The sequence below is a fragment of the Homo sapiens genome, chromosome 2 (genome assembly GCF_000001405.40).
Source record: "Homo sapiens chromosome 2, GRCh38.p14 Primary Assembly".
Taxonomy (NCBI): domain Eukaryota; kingdom Metazoa; phylum Chordata; class Mammalia; order Primates; family Hominidae; genus Homo; species Homo sapiens.
In genome coordinates this window covers 168,483,130-168,505,073 of record NC_000002.12, presented here as the reverse complement: position 1 = coordinate 168,505,073, position 21,944 = coordinate 168,483,130, and the positions used below count along the sequence as shown (strand labels likewise).

General features: G+C 39.7%; 1 protein-coding gene across 2 annotated transcripts in view, besides 1 other annotated feature; it reads right to left on the bottom strand.

The window, feature by feature from the left end:
- The window catches only part of CERS6 (ceramide synthase 6), a 318,863-nt gene that overhangs the window by 270,061 nt on the left and 26,858 nt on the right, over positions 1–21,944 (bottom strand). The window lies entirely within an intron of this gene.
- Positions 14,499–14,888: an enhancer, noted in NCBI's record as "active region_16733". NCBI's record gives its function as "activates an Ori minimal core promoter by ATAC-STARR-seq in GM12878 lymphoblastoid cells {active_cell/tissue: GM12878}" and the evidence as "EXISTENCE:reporter gene assay evidence [ECO:0000049][PMID:35858748]".

The window sequence follows — 21,944 nt, the reverse complement described above, 5'->3', positions numbered from 1 at the left end:
ATTAGGGAGATACCATTCTGCAGGTCTCTCCTTCAGAAACCGTATCAATTGACCTTACATGTCTTTCCCTTGTCTGTCACTAATTACTCAGTTGCCACTCAGCACCTGGCTTTAAGAGAACCGCCTGATACACTTGGCTAAATCTAACACTGATGTAGGTCTAATTCACTCAGCACCACCTATTACCATACATTTAGACCCCAACAAACCTCTACCTAATGTAAGGCAGGGTCTCCTCAATCCTGAAGCTTTGGCTGGTAGACAGCCCATTATTAATGATTTCCTCTCCAAGGGATTCATAGTCCCTTGCACTAGCCCCTGCAGCATGCCCATACTGCCTGTCCAGAAACCAAATGGAAAGGGATGGAGGTCTCAAGACCTAAGAGCCATTAACAATATTGTTATACCTCAGCACCCCACTACGCCAGACCCACATACAATCCTAACACACCTGTTGACACTTGATGTTCCTCAGCTATTGATCTCAGTGGCACCTCTTTCAGCATCCCTGTCAACCCAGGAAGTCAGTTTCTCTTTGCCTTCACGTGGAAAGGCAAACAGTTCACCTGCACAGTCCTTCTCCAGGGATACAGATTGCCTCACTTGTTTTTCTCACATTTTACAAGCTGATTTAAGGGGCATGATCTTCCCCCACAACTCTACCCTGTTACAATGCATTGATGATTTCCTTTTTTTTTTTGTTTAAATGGGATCTCACTCTGTCACCCAGACTGGAGTGCAGTGGTGCAATCTTGGCTCACTGCAGCCTCAGCCTCCCAAGTAGCTGGGACGGTTGGTAGATGCACACTAAAGACCCAGCTAATTTTTGGAGAGATGGGGTCTCCCTGTGTTTCCCAGGCTGGTCTTGACTCTTGAACTCAAGCAATCTGCCTACCTTGGCTCCCAAAGTGCTGGGATTACAGGCATGAGCCACCACGCCCACCCTGATGATTTACTTTTATGCCTCACAAGACACTCGTCTTACTGACATACTTCACTTGATCCACCAGCTAGCCTTTAAGGGACACAAGATCTCTAAAGACAAGCTGCAGCTTTGTCTGGATTCTATTAAGTTTCTTGGACACACATTAACCCCTTTAGGCTTAAATACTGACCCTTCTCTTTTCCTTTCCTCTCCAGACCCCTAAGAAACAGCTTAGAGGGTTTCTTGGACTTGCAGGATACTGCAGAACTTGGGTCCCCAACTTGTCTTTGATGGCACAACTTCTATATGCTTTGTTTAAAGTTTCCTCCCCTGACTCCCTTATTTGGACCCCAAAAACTAACAGGCCTTCAAAGACCCAAAAGGTCAACTCACCTCACCTCCCACTCTAGGACAGCCAAATTATGATCTCCTCTTTTCCCTTCTTGTCCATAAACCAGAAGGAAACACCATGAGAGCCCTAACTCAGCCCCACAGGAACAGCAAGCAGCCAAGTGGGTATTACAGTCAACAAGCAGACTCCATAGCTCAAGAACTGCCACCTGTTTGAGGGCAATTGCTGCCATTTCCACCCTCATTAAGGCTACCAAAACATTAATAATGGAATTCCCTCTCACTATGTATTCCACATTCTCACCTCTCACCACACTAAGCATCTTTCAGCCAGTCAACTAACTTGCTAGGAGATACTTTTCTTCTCCTCCTCTTGTAACCTAACCATAGTTTGTTGCAGCCTCCTTAACCCTCTTATCCTCTTGCCTTTACCTGAAGAGGGTATCTTCCATGACTCTACTGCTTTCACAGACACTGTATTAGTCCATTTTCACACTGCGATAAAGAACTTCCCTGAAGCTGGGTAATTTATAAAGAAAGAGGTTTAATTGACTCACAGTTCCACAGTGGCTGGGGAGGCCTCAGGAAACTTAGAATCATGGCAGAAGGGGAAGTAGGCACATCTTACATGGTGGCAGGCGAGAGAGAGAAGCAAGAGCAAAGGAGAAAGAGCCTCTTATAAAACCATCAGATCTCATGAGAACTCACTCACTACTATGAGAAAAGCATGGGGGAAACCACCCCCATGATCCAATCCCCTCCCGCCAGGTCACTCCCTCAACATGTGGAGATTATGGGGATTACAATTCAAGATGAGATTTGGGTGGGGACACAGAGCCAAACCATATAAGACACCCTTCTCTCACCCTGCATGGACTTTTAAGAGACTCCCTTATCCAATCCAGATTTTATCTGGTACACTGATGGATCTTTTTTCTCAGAGACCGTGCTGGTTCCTATTGGGCAGGCTATGTGGTGGTCTCTCTGATAAAGACCACTGAATCAGGCCCCATGCCAGGGGCCAGATCTGCCCAACAGGGGGAACTACATGCCCTCACTTGGGCCTGCCTACTGGCCAATGATAAAATGGCTAATATTTATATAGACAGCAGATGTGCCTTTGGAGTTGCTCATGATTTTGGCATGCTCTGGAGACAGAGGATTTTTAAGTTCCTCTGGACAGTCTATTAGAAACAAAGATTTTGTTTTGGCCCTCTTGGATGCCTTTCAGACTCCTTGAGCCCTAGCCAATATCAAAGTCTAGGGACCTTCCCTTGACAAGACAAAGGACAACAAAGACAACCATGCTGCAGATGAAGCAGCCAAAGCTATCACTTTAGCGATAACCTGTGAGTGACTTCTTCTCCACTTATGGATACTTGACCCTCTACCTCTCTTTCTACCTCTACTCCTCCTCTCCCTTGTTCTCTTCCTTATCTGAAGATGTCCTTTCCATACTCTGACTGTCTCACAAAAGACAGTTTCAGAGTCTGAAAGACGGAGGTAAATAAAACAAAATTGTTCTTTCAACCCCCGAGACAAAATTATAGGAAGGTCCAAACGAACATCCAATTTTAGCCAGCACTCTGCAAAGACAGATTTTAATCTGACCCATTGGAATCCAGACAAAATGATCCAACAAGGTAGACAAAACTATTGGGGACTTTGCCCAAGTGTCGTGTCTCAGGTATACAAACTTCGCAATGTGTTGGCCCAGTACAACCCAGGTAAGTCCCTAAAGCCCCCTCCAGGCCAATTCTCACTCCCCAGTGGTCCACTTGCTATCTGGCAACTTGATTTCATTCAGCTACCATCATCCCATAGTGGTATGAAAACAAATATGTGCTTGCAATGGTTGACATGTATTCTCACTGGGTTGCAGCTTTCCCTTGCCAATAAGCCACAGGTCTGCGGGCGGCCAAAATACTACCTAGGAAAATCATTCCTATCTGGTGTGTTTGAACTTTGCAGTGATAGGGGAACTCGTTTCACCAGCCAGGTACTGGAAAGAGTTTGAAAAATCTGGCCCATTCTACAGCATTTTCACTGTGCCTATCACTTGCAGTCCTCTGGGCTAGTTGAGCAGATTGATGAAATCATTAAAAGACAGCTGGTCTGGCAAAAGTCACAAAAACTTTTAATTTTGTCCTGGCCTAAAGCCATTTCACTAGTACTACTGATTCTGCAGTCCACTCCTACCAGAGAACATTGACTCTCTCCTTTTGAAATTGTTACTGGTTGGTCCATTCCCTCAGACCAAGGAATATTTCTTCGACCTCATTATAGGGGGAACTCCTGGCTTATTGCCAGGGGCTCATAAAAGCTATAAGGATCAACCACCACAAGGTGGGAGAATCTTCTTACAGCTTCCATTCAGGCCAAAAACTGCAGCATCACGACCTCCAACCTATTGACTATGTATACTTGAAAAGGTATCAGTTAAAAGACTCCCTCCAGCCCCACTGGAAACAGCCTTATCAAATATTGTTGACTAATCCTTGTGCTGTTAATTTATAGGGAGTTGACTCCTGGGTAAACATATCTCATCCGAAAATGGCACCTACCCCTGCTGAATCATGGATATTGATGCTGGTATCTAACACCAAACTCAAGTTAACCAAAGCCTCATCCTTGGGCTCAAAGAAAAGGCAACAACGACAGTGAACTGCCTTCATAAGACTCTGGCCAGGCGTGTATTCAGATAAACACTTATACTCCCCTTCTATTGGCTATCACACTTGGTGTTTCAGGTTTAGGAATTTTTACAATTATTGTTGCCTTATGTAAATGGGGAAATACCCACCACCATCTTCTAAATGCCTAGCCCTACATCTACTTTATAGTCGCTTTAATTGTTATAAAGGAATTCTATATATGCTAGGCCACATTGTGGCAACCCCATAAATCCCAACATTTAGATACCCACAGTTAGTTAAAATACTTATAAACTCCCTCCAACACACACACTGTCAAAATTAGACAGGATTCATGACCCTTTTCTCTGAGGACACTGTTATTTCATTTCTTGTAAGTCAGGTGCTCTTTTACTTCAAAGATAATCCCCAAAGCTTGTCTGACAGTTCCCTTGAGATTGTATGGAACCTGTGGTTTCTCCTTTGGTTTGAATTCTTTAAATAGTTTTAATGTTTGTTTCCCTTTCTTCCTTTGCTCTTATGGCATTAACAGCCTTCTCCCACCTCCTTGTAATTGTCCCCCTAACCCAATATATGAAATAGCATGATAATTCTCTGGTTAAACTGTCCCAAAGTGTTGCCACCAGAGGAAACACTGGATTGTTGGATATGTCCACAGGCTTCCTAAATCCATTCACAATAAACATCTGCCATTAATAATATCCATCATGGACTTTTCCAATTTCCCTGATGTCACCAGTTACCTGGACCAATTCCATTCCTTGTCAACTTTATGGGTACAATTGCTTGCACAGCCAAATATGACCACCCCTTGTTTTAATTTGTCTCCTGTTACTAATGCTGTACATTCATTCTATACCTTGAGACCCTCTCAATCTATGAACTACTGGGTAGACAAATGCAGTCTAGATCAAGCAAATAATGTAAAACTTCATCCCCATTATGCCAACAATACTTATATTTAAAATGTCATATGAATGGATTTTGGAAAGCTTGTGAGAGAAGCGACCCATTTTTAAATTTAGTATTGTAGGCACTTCCTATGAATGAGTCCATCAAAGAACATACTCTTGGGGGTATCACTTGTGATCCCCCAGATTATGTTTATAAGTGGCATAGGATCTGACCCACCCACACTAGGGTAGCACACTGCTGCTCTGACAGCCTGCACAAAGGTTCTTGTTTATTGGGATACTGAGCAGCCCCCTTCTCCATCCAGCCCAATAATGAGAGGTTTCCTGCTTTCCACAGACTAAAAAATGAGTTACCAGGAGGATATCAAAACACCTGGTGGCAGAGCCTTTTTGGGTATAGCAGTTCCCGGTTACGGGGTTTATGCAAATAGAGACATGATAAGAAATCTATTGGCCACCCTAGGAAAAACTGCTGATGAAACCACAAAACGTATTGCAGCACCACAAAAATTGAGCCAAGAAATTTAACTCAAGTGGTTTTAGATCACTGGGCTGCATGAGATTTTCTTCTAGCCAAACAAGGAGTCTGTGCAGTGACTCAAACCACCTGTTGTACGGACATCAACACCAGGTGAGGTAGAAACCCATACAGAAAAAATTTCCAAACAAGCCAAAGGGTTACAAGAAGTACCAACTACACATTACAGACCCCCTCAATGATCTTACAGCTGGCTCCCTACATATTTGGAAATTGGTTTGGATCCACCTTGCAAACCCTTGTCGTAAGTGTGGTAATGTCATAACTCACCACTTTGTTCCTTTTTCTGATGATCAAAATGCTTGTGTTCTATATAACTAATTATTGCAAGTCTGTACCTAAAACCAAGTTTATGGTGGCTCAACATGAAAAACATATAGATAAGTCCATTTCGTAACCTCGCCTTTTGGCTTTGGTTTCGGCTCTTATATTGCTCAAAAAGTTTTAAGGGTTACTTAGTGCCTGCCCACCTCCATTCCAGTCTGGCCTACAATATTTAATTGGCTGTAGGTCTTTTGGCTCTAAGTCCCTTGACCATAGGGGTCCCATCAAGGGACAGGACCTGGGGCAGGTAGCCAAATCACTCTGGCAATGTTACAGGAGAAAATAAGTTTGGCCATCACTGTTGCCTCTGACAAATCTCAGCCAAAAGGGGGAGAATGTAAACCTAAGATAAAATGCTAAGCCACCACCCTACTGAATGGACCTCCTCTTGGCCAAGGGGACCCCAGAGTAACCTTGAAAACTAAGTTCACGGTCATAACGAGATGTGGGGGGGAAGTCAGACACACCTCATTATACCCCCTCCTCACTAACCACAATTAGGCTTTCTTCCCTCCCTACGGGCTAAATAGAAACCAGCCCTTTCAAAAGACATCCCCACTGATATGGACCAACCACCTGACGCTGCCCATCCCTTCTGCGTTTCAGCGCAAGGACTGACCAGCACTCCTTCCTGGTAAGAGACCACCAGCCACGGCGTGGTTCTGGCCAGTCTACGGAGGATGCACACAAACGGCTATTGTGTCCTTTGCTTCATCTTTTGATATAAAGAGCCTAACTGTAATATATTTACGTTAAGTCTCCACTCCCAGGTGAACGTGGGACACATGTTGCATACACGTTAGCCTACTGCACACGTGCAGGCCACCCTCTCGTGAATATTCATAGCTCCCCCATAACCTGCTGAATATGTATACCCGGCCACCCTGCTTGGTGTAAGTTCCTGTTCCTTTTGCCCCTCTTTGGAAGCATTGCTTTTCAGTTTCTGCCAGAGGCTCTGCTTCCTGCCTGCAGGTTGTGGTACCCTCTTTTAGAAATAAAGCCCTCCTTTCCAAATTTACAGATTTGTGATTTTTTTCAGTCAACAGCACACACCAAAAGGCCAGGATTCAGGAGAAAGAGAATAAAAATCCAGCATTAGGATGACAGAAGTCCAAGAAGATGTGGAGGGGGATTAAAAAGGAACAAGTGCCACTAAATTCGACAAAGAGGTTATCAATAACCTTAGAAAAGGGTTTTAAATGTTGGCAAACACTTTAGCAATATGACTATTTTGGGGATTGTGGTGTTTACAAAACTGAAGCTTACTGATAACAGCGTTTTACATTGTGGTTCTTCTGCCAGGTAAGAAATAGGGCCGTGAAGATGCTGGCTAGAATAGCCTATCAGGAAGAGAAATGCAGGAGGCTTGGTATCAGGAGTCTTCCTTTGAAGATCAATGGCTGTTTTCCATTGTTATTAGTAAGGGTCTCCCTAACTGGTCTTCTCCACTTACCCAAGCATCTTAAGGTTCTGATATTTCAGAGCCACCTTCATCTCCAGTCTCGATTTTATAGCAGTCTCCTAACTGGTTTTTCTGCATCTCCCCTCTATGCAGCAACCAAGAAGGAAGCTCATGTCACTCAATTGCTCAAAACCTACTAACGGCATCCCATGTCACTCAGAGTAAAAGCCAGGGGCTTCCCAGGGCTTCCCAAGGCCCTCTGTGATGAGCCAGCCACCATGTCACCAACTTTGCCTGCTCCTGTTCTCCACCTGCTCACCCTGCTGCAGCCAAACTGACTCCCTCTCCTTTTCCTGGAACAGATTATGCAGGTACTGCCATGGGGCCACTGCACTTACTGTTGGCTCCCTCACCTCCTTCAGGTCTCTGCTCAGAGGTCACCTTACCAGGGAGTTCTTCCCTGACCACCTACATGCAAGCTCACCTATGGTATTCCCATTCCTCTGTACATACAAGTACTTAGGTATCTATCTTTCTTTCTTTTCTTTCTTTCCTTCTTTCTCTCCCTTCCTTCCCTATTTATTTATTTATTTATTGCTGTGGTATTTATCACTACCTGACACATTTTATTTTCTCATAGTTTACTAACTGCCTGAAGCACACAGAAGGTGCTCAGTCAATATTTGTTGAATTTGAAAATCCAAGTTAATTCCTTCTAGTCGGACTAGACAAAACTGTTTCTAACACATAACTCAGTCACCACCATTATACTTTGAATATCCCTTCTGTCTACCACACTTTCTTTTTCTCTAAGAGAGTATTCTACTCCTTTCAGAGTGATCCTTTCCAGGCTACCCACGCCCCCTATAAACTGTGGTTCAAAGCAGTTTACTTACACTTGAGACACAGTGATGAATTATCCAGGTCTGCTTTTCCTGCCTAGGCTAGATTAGAAATGGCAGAATGGATAGAAGACTTTTAGAGACAGGTATATTGATGGCATTATTTAAAAGCCTCACTATCTAACACAGATTTTTCAATGTTGACAGTGATGGCTGCAAATTGTCAGAAAAATGTTAGACTAGGTACATCAAACTCTGCTTGTTAGGCATGAAGCTGAAAGTAAAATTTTCATTTTAGAATTAAATGGAAGCCCCAAACTAATCTAGAAAATTCCTACATCAATCATGTTCACTGATCATGCTAGAGATTCCTTTAAAATCTAGAGCTACTACTAGAAACAAGATGAGCAACATAATATAAGTACTCTACAAATAATGATGATATCTTCTATGTTGTACTTTCAGGTTTATTAAAAAAAATTAATTTCATGGGACTCCCACAGCAACCCTGTGAGTAGGCAGGTAAGAAAGTGTTGTGCTCACTATCAATTTGACACAGAATTATAGAGCTGAACTCTGTGTGCGGGTGTCCCAGGTGCTGGTGATAGTGTGGGGACCCAAAAGACAAGAATCCCCTCTCATGGAGCCTGATGGCTTCCTATCATTTTCGCCTTAAACTCAGACCACCCGCTTATATCTAAGTATAAGGCAATCTCTACTCTAGCTCAAATCTTTAGTTGTTTTACATACAATATGTTACCATTTTTTTCTACAAAAAAAAAAAATCATGACTTCCAAGTTCTCTGTCAACCAAATAGCTTTTAAAACTACTATACTAGTGTCATTGTACAGGTATCAAATGATATATATACAAGATTATTCACTGTTAACAGTCTTTGTATAGGAAGATACTAGAAACAACCTAAGTATCCTTTAGTGGGAGATTAATTGAATAAGTGAAATACTAAGCAACTGATATATAGCATGTGGCACATGTCTGTGTGCACCAACATGGGATAATCCTCAAGATACATAAAGAGTGAAAAGAACCCAGTTCAGAACAGCATCTATTGTGTTGCATGCAAGGTTGCAGTGGGGACCAAATAAAGCATGTGTGCATGTGCTTGTAACTGCAAAGGACACAAATAAATAGTGGTTATCCCCAGGGAGATCACCTGGGTAGTTGGGAGACAGGGTGGGGATGGAGACTTAAGTTTTGGGGAATACCTTTTTGTACCTGTTGAATTTTGTAGCAGACAAATGTACATAAATAACCACTGTACCAGATAGGTGCACAAGGGCAAAGTCAAAATGGAAACAATCATGCCCCCCCTGAAAGGAGAATGAGACAGATATGACACTATATGTGAAAATACACTGGAAACTAGAAAGGAGCATGCACACATGAGTCATCACTACCTTGGGGAAATAACTGCCATTTAATTTTCTCACTTTCAAGTTTCAGTGCTCTTTACACTATTGTCCAAATGCAAAAATACTGCTAGATGCCCCAACCACGTTCAAGACTTACAAGGATTGGCCCTTCACCCTCCTGGGAAGTTTTGTTTGTTTGTTTTGTTGTCTTTGTCATTTAGTTGTCTTAACAGGTTTGCGTTTGCTTCTCCACCTAGACTTTGAAGCAAAGATGGAACCAAGTGGACCTGAGAGACAGGGACAGTCTGAAAGCAGAAAACTGCATTGTGCATTTTTACAACTCCGACCAGTCTTTCTGATCCCTGTTAAGCACCCAAAAATTTAAACCTCAGGTGACTATTGTTTTGACTTTAAATAAAACACTTTACTTTTGACTGAATGTTGCACAGGTTCAGCGGAGAATGGTAGAATAGAAAGGAGTTAAATTTTTTAACATACTCCTCACCGCTTCCATCGCTCTATCAATAAACTGCTATTAATGACTTTGACTAGGTACAATTCACAATCATGAGAGTCAGACTATCACAAGTATAAAGCTATGTTTCTTGGTTAATATGTTCCCAATGAGGACAATTTTGTTCATGGGAGTTCAGCCATCCCATGGGCCAAACTATGTGTCAAAGCAAAGGACTGCAATATTCTACCCTGCATGGCAGATGCACCTGACAGCAATAACTTAAACATACCCTCAGAATGACCCTATGGTCTAAAAAGAATGTGTGTTCAAGGTTCCAAGCTAAGGAATCCAGGAGTAGCCAACCCAGAGATTCATTCCTTATCTATAAGGAACATCTGAACCCCTGGCCCACCCCACAGAATGCAAGCCATACAGGGAATCAAAGCCCTTTGTGTTGGGTTAAATGAAGATTGCCAGGTGGAGGTCACTAGGGGGAGAATGCTAAGTGAAAAAGCTATCGATATTCCATGCTTTTAACAAAGGGTAGTGGTTCTCCTGTCCAGCCTGCCACCACTGGAACACCCTGTATATAAGTCCCCTCAATCAACTCTATGACTCGTTCGCTGGCTCTGGGTCTCTTCTTCGGTCTCTTGAACATGGTGTCATCCCTAGTGAAGTCGATAGGGGGCCAGCAGGACACACTCAGCTCACTGGAAAGGGCTGACAAAGACCCATTTATTTTTTCCTTTGAAGATATTGAGAAACTGTTATTTATTTAACAAGCATTTACAGTGTTAGATATATGTTTTAATTTAAATACTAATTTATTTGATCCTCATCATAACCCAAAGAGATACACACCATTTTTATCCTCATTTCACAGATGATGAAACTGAAGCACAGAAAGGTTAACTAACTAGCCCAAAGTCGAAGAGCTAATAAACACGGAAGCTGAGGCAGTCTGAGTCCAGAGTTCGGGCTCTTAACCACTGCACTCTATAAAAGGCACAGAGCTAAGCACTGGGAATCTACCAGGGAGCAAGACAGACCCCATCTCTGTCCTCTCTGGATCTTACCTGCTAGCCAGGAAGGACTGGTAAAGAGCAGACCATATTAACAATGTAATTACAATTGCCAAAATGCCACAGTGGAAAAGTGATGGGGCAGCTGCACAAACACAAGGGTGAAGGACAAGAGAAACATTCCCTGAGCCCTCGACGATTCCTCCTACAACACTGGAAAATAACGAATAATATTCCATTGTAGAAAGGAGGCTCTTCTGGCTTAGCAAGAAGAGGTGAAAGACAGAGGCAGAATTCATCCTTAGTCTGTGCAGTCTTGACACCAGTCTGGCTGTTAGAAAAAACTTTCTCCTAGATCGCTTCCACCTGTCATCATTGTCATCTTTTTGCATTATATGTTATATATAATATATTGATATATTAATGTATATTATATTAATATATTACATTAATCTGTATGTTACATTATGAAAGGTTTAGGTATTTGTATTTATGTGGGTGTCTCACCAAATGCAGGAACCTGGTCTTATCACTTTGACAATAACCACCTAATACCAAGTACTCACCCACAATAAGACTGTAATACACATGTGGGTTATTGGTGTTCAGCTAAAATTGATTCCTATCATGGTTGATCTGAAGGCCATATTACATTGTTAATATGGTCTGCTCTTTACCAGTCCTTCCTGGCTAGCAGGTAAGATCCAGAGAGGACAGAGATGGGGTCTGTCTTGCTCCCTGGTAGATTCCCAGTGCTTAGCTCTGTGCCTTTTATAGAGCGCAGTGGTTAAGAGCCTGAACTCTGGACTCAGACTGCCTCAGCTTCCGTGTTTATTAGCTCTTCAACCCTGGGCTAGTTAGTTGATCTGCCCTACCTTGGTAGCTGAGGAGTTAAAAGAGTGAGTAGACAGGAGGCAGAAGAATAAACATACATCTCATGACTTCATTCCAAGAGCCTGTTAGGTGTTTTCACAAGTTACTTTATTTAAGTGGCTAGGAGAGATCAGATGTTTCAGATAAGGTGGATCTGAGAAGCTACTGGGGCTGATCTGAAAGAAAAAAAATTTTTTTTCATTTTAAAAGTACAATAAGGAAAATGGAATGCAACCAAAACATCCAGTTTCAAAAGAACAGAAATTTAGCATAAAAAATTATGTTTGCAAGGAGTTTGTAACAAATGGAGAAAAATTTATATTCTAATAATCTTCACATATTCAGAGAAAGAGCAAAGAATGACAGAAGTATACATTCTAAAAACAAGTAATAGTACTAATGGATCCCATTGAGAAGTAAAAAGAAGAAGATTAAGAGGAAATTTTAACACTCATTGTATACCACTCAATTGTTTCCTATACATAATTTAAAAATTAAAACAAAATTACATTTAGAGTCATTATGTATAAAAATGGTGAAAATGCTTAAGCTATAAAGTTACTGTGACAGGACAAACTTTTTAATACAAAATAATTTTAACTACATATTCCTCTCCCAATAAAAGAAACTAGAAAACTTAAACGTAAGACCTAAAATCATAAAAATCTTAGAAGAAAGCCTAAGCAATACCATTCAGGACATAGGCATGGCCAAAGACTTCATGACTAAAACACCAAAAGCAATGGCAACAAAAGCCAAAATCGACAAATGGGATCTAATTAAACTGAAGAGCTTCTGCACTGCAAAATAAACTATCATCAGAGTAAACAGGCAACCTACAGAATGGGAGAAAATTTTTGCAATCTATCCAGCTGACAAAGGGCTAATATCCAGAATCTACAAAAAACTTACACAAATTTACAAGAAAAAAACAACCCCATCAAAAAGTGGGCAAAGGATATGAACAGACACTTCTCAAAAGAAGACATTTATGTGGCCAACAAACATGAAAAAGAGCTCATCATCACTAGTCATTAGAGAAATGCAAATCAAAACCACAATGAGATACCATCTCACACCAGTTAGAATGGTGATCATTAAAAAGTCAGGAAACGACAGATGCTGGAGAGGATGTGGACGAATAGGAATGCTTTTACGCTGTTGGTGGGAATGTAAATTAGTTCAGCCATTGTGGAAGACAGTGTGGCAATTCCTCAAGGATCTAGAACTAGAAATACCATTTGACCCAGCAATCCCATTACTGGGTATATACCCAAAGGATTATAAATCATTCTACTGTCAAGACACATGCACACGTATGTTTACTGCGGCACTGTTCACAATAGCAAAGACTTGGAACCAACCCAAATGCCCATCAATGATAGACTGGATAAAGAAAATGTGGCACATATACACCATGGAATACTATGCAGCCATAAAAAAGGATAAGTTCATGTCCTTTGTAGGGACATGGATGAAGCTGGAAACCATTATTGTCAGCAAACTAACACAGGAACAGAAAACCAAACACCACATGTTCTCACTCGTAAGTGGCAGCTGAACAATGAGAACACATGGACACAGGGAGGGAAACACACACTGGGCCTGTTGGGGGGTGAGGGGCTAGGGGAGGCGATAGCATTAGGAGAAATACCTAATGAGTTGATGGGTGCAGCAAACCACCATGGCACGTGTATACCTATGTAACAAACCTACACGTTCTGCACATGTATCCCAGAGCTTAAAGTATAATTTTTAAAAAAAAGAGAAGCTAGAAAACTTGAACACTATTAACCATAGTTCCATAGTTAACCCTAAGGAGTCAGTTTCTACTTTCTTACTGTGTCTACTTTCCTATTGTTTAAAGTATTTACAATAAGCATTTATCACTTTCATTATTGAAAAAAAAACAAAGATTAGAAAAGAACAAATAGCACAGAAAATATACTAATATGATAAGTGGCAGGATTACAGTTGTTTTGCTGACTCCTAAATATAAAGTCAAATATAAAGAAGCCAAGACTGTCACTTGGAAATGATTAAGTTCAAAGTAAAAACTAAGACTGCTTTTAATGAAAAACAGCCAAACATGGGCGCAAAGCCCTATATGAACAAAGGAAGAAGCACTCCTTAGTTTTAAGTATTTTTAACCTAATCCTCTTTCCTTCCTCATATTCTTCTTTTGCAGATGTGGTAACCCTGTTTTCTTTCAAACAGTCATTTGGAAAGAGAAGCTGACAATGGCAGTTTGCTGGAGCCAGGTCACAGACTCCATCCTCAGCGTGACTGTCAACTGCCTGCAGACAATGAGGCTCTTCCCTCACCTCTTTGGCACTCCTTGCTTCTAGGCTTCCCAGTTCTTTTGGGACTTTCGTTTTTCCCCTCAGAAAATGTTACCTGCCTCCCCAAAGTATGAATACAAAGTACATCTCACAAAACAGTGAAAAGAAGAAAATTGCTGTTTTAAGTTAGCCCGATGTCAAAGTGTCACTTGGTAGCAAAATATGGATCTTCTTTGCAAACTCTGCGGGGAAGGTCTGTTGACATTATACACACTATCATCATATATTCTCTCCTTTGAGGTATAGACGTACTTTGTAAAGCAGAAACAAAAGAAAAGCAGGGAGCCCCAGTTCCTCTCTGATAGTAAGCCCAGTAGAGCCTCTCTCTCTCTCTCGCTTTTTAAAACTAAAAGCTCTGGCCACAAAAAGAGCTGAGTGCCTGGGACAGAGATGAGCAACAAAGGGAAGTATGGGTTGTGACCTGAGTGAGAAAAGTCATATCCTGTAAACTTAGCAGAAGCATGTGCTCGATACTCAACAGCTACCAAAATAATACAAAGAGCAACAACTGAGGACTGAAATGTTAACAAGGTGAATTCTGGAGGAGTCAAATGTAAAGAAATGATCTACAAGGAGATGAGTTTCCAGTTTTGTTTTGTTTGGTTTTGTTTTTTCTTTTATTCTGGCAGCTATGTCCTGGAGCAGGACCCAGTCACAGAGCCCCACTATACAGCAGAGCAGCAGGACAGCAGCCTGAGCCACTCATACTCCAGGAAACCCAGTCTTTATGACCACAGGAACCTGGAAAAGGAGCCCTCACAGGCCAAAGAGGATGGGGGAATCACGGAGAGAAAGAAAATGGAGAAGCGAATCCCCTAATTCTGAACATGAATCAGCACAATTCCTGGCTTCACCCTAAGCTGTGCATGCATGACACAGATCTAGAACAGTATAGCAACAGCTATAAGAACTGAACTAAGTCTAGAAACCACTGCCCCTGAGAGGCACACACGGGACAGACCCAGAGTTGCATCACAAAGGCTTTGAAACCTGAACTGAGATTAGTACCACTTGCCACAAGAAGGTGAGACAGAAATATAACCTGAATCTAGCTGGGTTTATTGCCTGCTAAAAGAAATTTTAAAAGATCAACATTATTTAGAAGATTAGAACAGGACCCAGAATCTATACCACATAACATACACAATGTCCAGGATACAATCCAACATCATTCCACATACGAAGAACTAGGAAAATATGATCAGTTCTTAGGGAAAAAAGCAATCAGATTCCAACTCTGAGAAACCCAAAGGACAAATATTATAAATATCCTCCATGGTGATATGGAATGAATGGAAAGACAGAAGTTCTCAACAGAAAAATTAAAACTAGAAAAACAAGTGCATATTGTGGAAATAAAAATATAATATCTGAAATAAATTCATGGGATAGCTCAAGTCAAAATATATATATAACCGAAGAAAGAGTAAGTGAACTTGAAGAGTCAGTGAAATGATCCAATATGAGGAACAAAGAAAAAAAAATTTGTTGAGACAAATGAGCTGAGCCTCAAAGACCTGCAGGAAAATATCACAAAGTTCTAGCATTCATGTCACTGGTTTTCCAGAAAAAAAAAAAAAAAAATTGGTGGAGAAACTATTTGAAGAAATAATAGCCCAAAACTTCCCACTCATTAAAAGACACAAATTTACAAATGCAAGAAGTTCACAAACCCCAAACAGAATAAGCTCAAAAATAGTCACACTTAGTCAACTGCTTAAAAGCAAAAATAAAGTATTCACAATGGCTAAAGTTACACATTATTACAGAGGAAGAATGGTTTGAATTACTGAAAACTTCACATCATAAACCAAGCAGGCAAGAAATCAATAGAAAAACATCTTTAAAATGCTGAAGGAAAAAAATCCACCAACCTAAAATTCCATATCCATCAATAACATCCTTCAGGAAAGAAAGCTAAATAATGGTATTTTTAGATGGAGGAAAATTAAAAGTATTCATTTTCAGCAGACTTGCTCTACAAAAAGCTAAGGAGCGTGCTTCAGGCTTAAGGGAAATAACCTCAGAAAGAAATTGGAATCTTCACAAAAAACAGAAATAATAAATATCTCGGTAAATATAGAAGACTACTTTCCCTTAAGTTCTTTAAAATTTATATGATTGCTGAAAGCAAAATGTGTAACACTGGTGGGGTTTCAATGTATGTAGATGTAATATACATCATGATTATAACCTACAGGTAAGTGGGGAAGGATAAAGGAAACTCTATCATAAAGAGTCTACATTTTACTTAAAGAATATAACATTAACTCTTGAGTAGAGTGTGAAAGTTTTGGTGTATTATATTATAACTCCCAGAGCATTCACCAAAAAAAAATTTTTTTAAAGATAGCAAAATAGCTAATATGGAATATTAAGAGGGAATGCTAAAAAGATTCAAATAACCCAAAAGACAGAAAAAGGGGGAAGAAACAAATAACTGAGGGAATACACGGAAAACAAATAACAAAATGGTGTGTCTAAATCCAATCATGTCACTAACTATATTAAACAAAAATGATCTAAACACACCCATGAAAAAAGATTTTTCAAAATTACAAGAACCAACTATATGCTGCCTACAAGAAACCCATTTTAAATACAAGTCCTACACAGATTAAAAGTAAAGGATGAAGAAACTACGTCATATAATAATCAAAATAAATCTATTAATACATTAATATATAGATTGGCTATATTAATTTCATCCAAAATCCTATTCTTGTTTTTCCCAATTTTTCATTCCTCTATGCTAACATATTTATACATAGTGGCTATTCCTTCTTTACTCAGAAAAACATTACCAGAGTATTAAGCTGTGTTCATCAACAATTTATAAAATATATCAACATATCCCTTCACTTTATGAACTTACCATCTAAGACAATATAATGCAACAGTTATTTTAAAAACAAAAGCAAAATATAGCAAATAGATCTAAAACACTGCATGTTTGACAAAGGTGCTAAATTCCTATATACACAGGATTGTATAAGCTTTAGGAATGGCATGGCATCCTCACTAACAGTTACAACTGGGCCAGGGCAGTGGTTAATGCCTGTAATCCCAGTACTTTGGGAGGCCAAGGTGGGAAGATCACTTGAGGCCAGGAGTTCAAGACCAACCTGGGCAACATGGCAACACCCTGTCTCTACAAAAAAAAATTTAAAAATTAACTGGATGTCATGGCACACACGTCGCCCAGCTACCTGGAGGCTGAGGCAGGAGGACTGGTTGAACCCAGGAGTTTAAGGCAGGATGATTGGCTGAGCTATGATTGTGCTCCAGCCTAGGTGACAGAATGAGATCCTGTCTCTTAATAAAAATTAAAATTAAAAAATCAAAAGTAATAGCTTATGTGGTTTAGAGAATACTAAGGAAAACACATAAAAGTAGCTTAAGAAAAAAATATATTTTCAGAAGCAACTAAATGTAGATTTTGGGTAAGCAAGCCTAAAGTAAGCATAAGGTTATACAGTATACAGATAAGCCTCTTATAATTGTATGAGACTTATAAAGATTAGCAATAGCATTAAATGGATCACTGAGTCTTACACCTTGATGAAAATAATGTTTTGGGGGTTATACCTGACAGATGTCCTTCCAATTAATATTTTGACCCAAATATTCTCTCTATGAAATTGCAGCCTTGGAGGCACTCCACCTCTCTGCCAGTCATTTCTTTAAAATAGTAGAGGAGAGAGACAAGGAGATTAAGCAAGGGAAGGAAAATTCTACAATGGAAATTCATCAGTTGTCTAAGACCCATGGATCAGAGTCTTCAATGAAAACTGCAGTTATAGTTAAAACTATAGGAATAGATAAATAAGGAGAAAGAATAAAATGAAGACATAGAAAAGAACTGCACCCTGCAGTACAAGTGGATCATCAATACCCTTCCTCACCTTGTGTGTTTTAACATACATTTTGTGATGTGATTTAAAAACAAAAACAAAATCATTCTGCTGCAGGTAAGAGGAATATTATTTCTATTTTATAAATGAGGCAACAGACAGACAAAAAGTGCTTTATCAATATAGCACCCCTCACCTTTATGATGCAGTTCATTCCTGGAAGTCACACTGAAAAAAAAATCATTAAGTGGACTATATGGAATTTATTAAATTCATTTACTAAAATAGGTTTGACATTAGCGGTGAAAGCTAGCAATGAATAAGTGGATAAGGACAAGGAGATGTGAAATGCTGGTCCTTCCTTTCACTGTGTCACAAGGAATGTTTGGAGGAGTGAAATGCTAACTACACAAACAAGAAGAAACCTTCAGTAGTCATGGGTATAAGCACTGACCTATATTATTAAGATAAGGAGGATCAACACAGGAGGAACCCAAAGCAAGTACTACAAATTTGCAGTTAAAAAGTAAGGCAGTATAGAGTCTAGAAACAGACCCACACAAATACAGTCAACTGATCTTTGACCAAAGAGCAAAGGCAATTCCGTGGAAAAACGATTGTCTTTTCAACAAATGGTTCCGGAACAATTAAACAGCCATAGGCAAAAAAAAAAAAAACAAAACCAAATCTAGACACCTTTAACAAAAATCAGCTCAAAATGGATCACAGATCCAAACATAGAATGCAAAAACTATAAAACTCCTGGAAGATAACAGAAAATCTACATGATCCTGAGTTTGGCTTTGACTATTTAAAATATACAAGACCAAAAGCATAATCCAAGAAAGAAAAAAATCAGTAAGCTGATCTTCATTAAAATTTAAAACCTTTGTTATGCAAAAGAGAATAAAAGGACAAGAGAGAAAATCTTTGCAAAACAAGTACCTGATAAAAGACTACCTGGTATCCAAAATATGCAAAGAACTCTTAATAATAAGAAAACAACCTAGTTAAAGAAAGAATGGGCAAAAAATCTAAACAGACACCTTGCCAAAAAGGACATACAAATGGTAAGCATATGAAAAGATGTTCAATATCATATGTCATTAAGAAAATGCAAATTAAATTGATAAGATACCACAGCACACCTAATAAGCTAAGATCTAAAATACTAAAACAAAAAATGCTGGTGACAATGACAAGCAATGGAAACTCATGCACTGTTGGTGGAAATACAAAATGGTACAACCAGTTTGGAAAACAGTTTTGCAGTTTCTGATGAGACTAAACATACTCTTATTATATGATCTGGCAATCAAGCTGCATGATTGCCAAATCATGCTAGGTATTAACCCAAATGGTTTGAAAACTTATGTTCACAAAAACCTACACACAAACATTTATAGCAGCTTCATTCATAATTGCCAAAACTTGGACACAACCAAGACGTCCTTTAATAGGTGAATAAACTGTGACTTGTTTATCTATAAGGTGGAATATTACTCAGCCATACAAAATGAATTATCAATGGATGAAAAAACATGGGAGAACCTTAAATGCATATTGCTAAAGTGAAAGAAGGAAATCTGAAAAGGTTACACACTGTATGATTCCAACTAAATGAAATTCTGGAAAAGACAAAACCATAGATATGGTAAAAAGATCAGTAGTTCCAAAAGTTCAGTGTGGGGGGAGGCATAAAGGGATAAATAGATGGAGAACAGAAGGTTTTTAGGGCAGTAGAACTATTCTGATAGTGTAATGATGGATATACCTCACTATACATTTGCAAAACTCATGGAACGTACAACACAAAGAGTGAATACTTATGTAAACTATGAACTTTAGTTAATAATAATGTATCCATTTGGCTCATCAACTGCAACAAAAGTACACTAATAAAAGATGTTAATAAAAAAGAAAATGTGAGTGTAGGGGAGTAATGTGGAAACTCTGTACTTGCCATTCATGTTCCTGTAAACCTACAACTGATTAAAACAATAATCTATTAACTCTTCTTAAAAAAAAAAAAAAGCAAGGCAGTGTGTCACCTTTTGTGTTTTTGTATCTTACTTAAGGGTCAAGATTTTTAAATGGCACCAAAGGACATTTTCATTTTCTCCAATTTCATAAGCCTGAACTGTATTATGAGGCAAACAGCTGAAATAGAAAACCACCTAATGAGAGCCTGCCTACATTTTCTATGCCTTCTTTTCTCATTAACTTCCAATATGCCTAGTTATTCATTTGTTTATTTTCATAAAGAAGGTACATTCTGTTCCACTATGAGAGAATATGAAGCGTTATTTCAGTCCCCAGGGATTTACCTGTGGAAACAGCCCTCTTCACATCCCCTTAAAGCTGGACCCAGGGCAGCTTCCAATGAGTATTCACAAGGCTGAAAATACCAACATATCAGGACTTAAATGCTAAATGCCTCTAATGAGAAAAATTTGGAATGAAAAAGACACTAAAGCCCCTGTTCTAATCTGAAGGGAAAAAAACCCATACATACTTACGTTAAAACACAAGTGAGCATAAATTCTCCCTACAAAACACCATCAACAAGCAGTTCAGCATTTCCAGCTGTTAAACAGGAAGAGCACTCAGTTCAGGACACTTAATGATTATGTGTCTATGAAGGTACATGTCACCTTACCAGTGTGGTTACAGTAGACAGTTACTTTCTTCCCTCCTCAAGATTTGGAAAAAAAAAACAAAGCGAAGCACAGTGGCTCAACGCCTGTAATCCCAACACTTTGGGAGGCCAAGGCAAGTGGATCACCTGAGGTCGGGAGTTCGAGACCAGCCTGACCAACATGGAGAAACCCCGTCTCTACTAAAAATACAAAATTAGCCGGGCATGGAGGTGAATGCCTATAATCCCAGCTACTCGGGAGGCTGAGGCAGGAGAATTACTTGAACCCGGGAGGTGGAGGCTGTGGTAAGCTGAGATCACGCCATTGTCCTTTAGCCTGGGCAACAGGAGTGAAGCTCCGTCTCAAAAAAAAAAAAAAAAAAAAAAAAAAAAAAACAGAAAAAAGAAAAAGAAAAAGAAAAAAATAGGTACTAAAAACAACAGCATTTTTGTTGTATTCAGTGACATGTAGAACTTCCTCTTGATTGTGCTTTTAATAAGCACAGTCTACCTTTTAGCTTTGAACATACTGGTACAATATTTTGAATACACAGAGATATTCTATACCAGTAGTTCTCAAAGTGTGGTCCCTGGACTAGCAACATCAGCATAACCAGGGAACTTGTTAAAAATGCAATTCAAATCCAAATCTACTGATTCAGAAATTCTGGAGGTGGGACCCAGCCTTCTGGTCTCATGAGCTCTCCAGGTGACTCTGATGCCCAGTGAAATTTAAGAGCCACTGTTCGAGATGTTCATAAATATTTTCTCATTAAGTTCCAATACGCCTAGTTATTCATTTATTTTTACAAAGAAGGTGCATTCTATTCCACTGTGAGAGAATATGAAGCGTTACTTCAATCCCCAGGGATTCAAAGTTGACTGGACTAAATTTTTGGTGAAGTCTGGCTCCAGGGAGCTCCTCGTGCTCATAATATTAGAACAGCTAGTTAAGTATTTCATCTCTTGATCCCTGCTTCCCTACCATGCAAGGGCAGGACATTCAAGTCTTCCTTTAAGTCAGGAAAAAGACACATATTTGATGCCAACTCTGAACCAAGTCTGTTTTCTCGGTTAAAAACAAAAAATTCAAAGACTCCCTCTAGAAAGAGATTGGCCCTCCCTCAACCTCCCATTTTGCACAGAAGAAAGCTGAAACTCGGAATTTTGAGTAACCAGTAACCAGTATCCAGTCCAAGATGAGTCAACCAATAAGCACACAGAGCTTCCACTCTACACTCCAAGCAAAGTGCTATAAGCGTCTTCAGAAAAAAAAAAAATAGCTATGTAATCGTGGACGAGTTATTATACCTCCATGAGCCTAATCTCCACATCTATAAAAAAAGAAGTAAAAATAGTACCTACTTCACAGACTTTATGTGAGGATTAAATGAGATAGTCTATGTAAGGCTCTAAGAATAGTGAGTGGCAGTA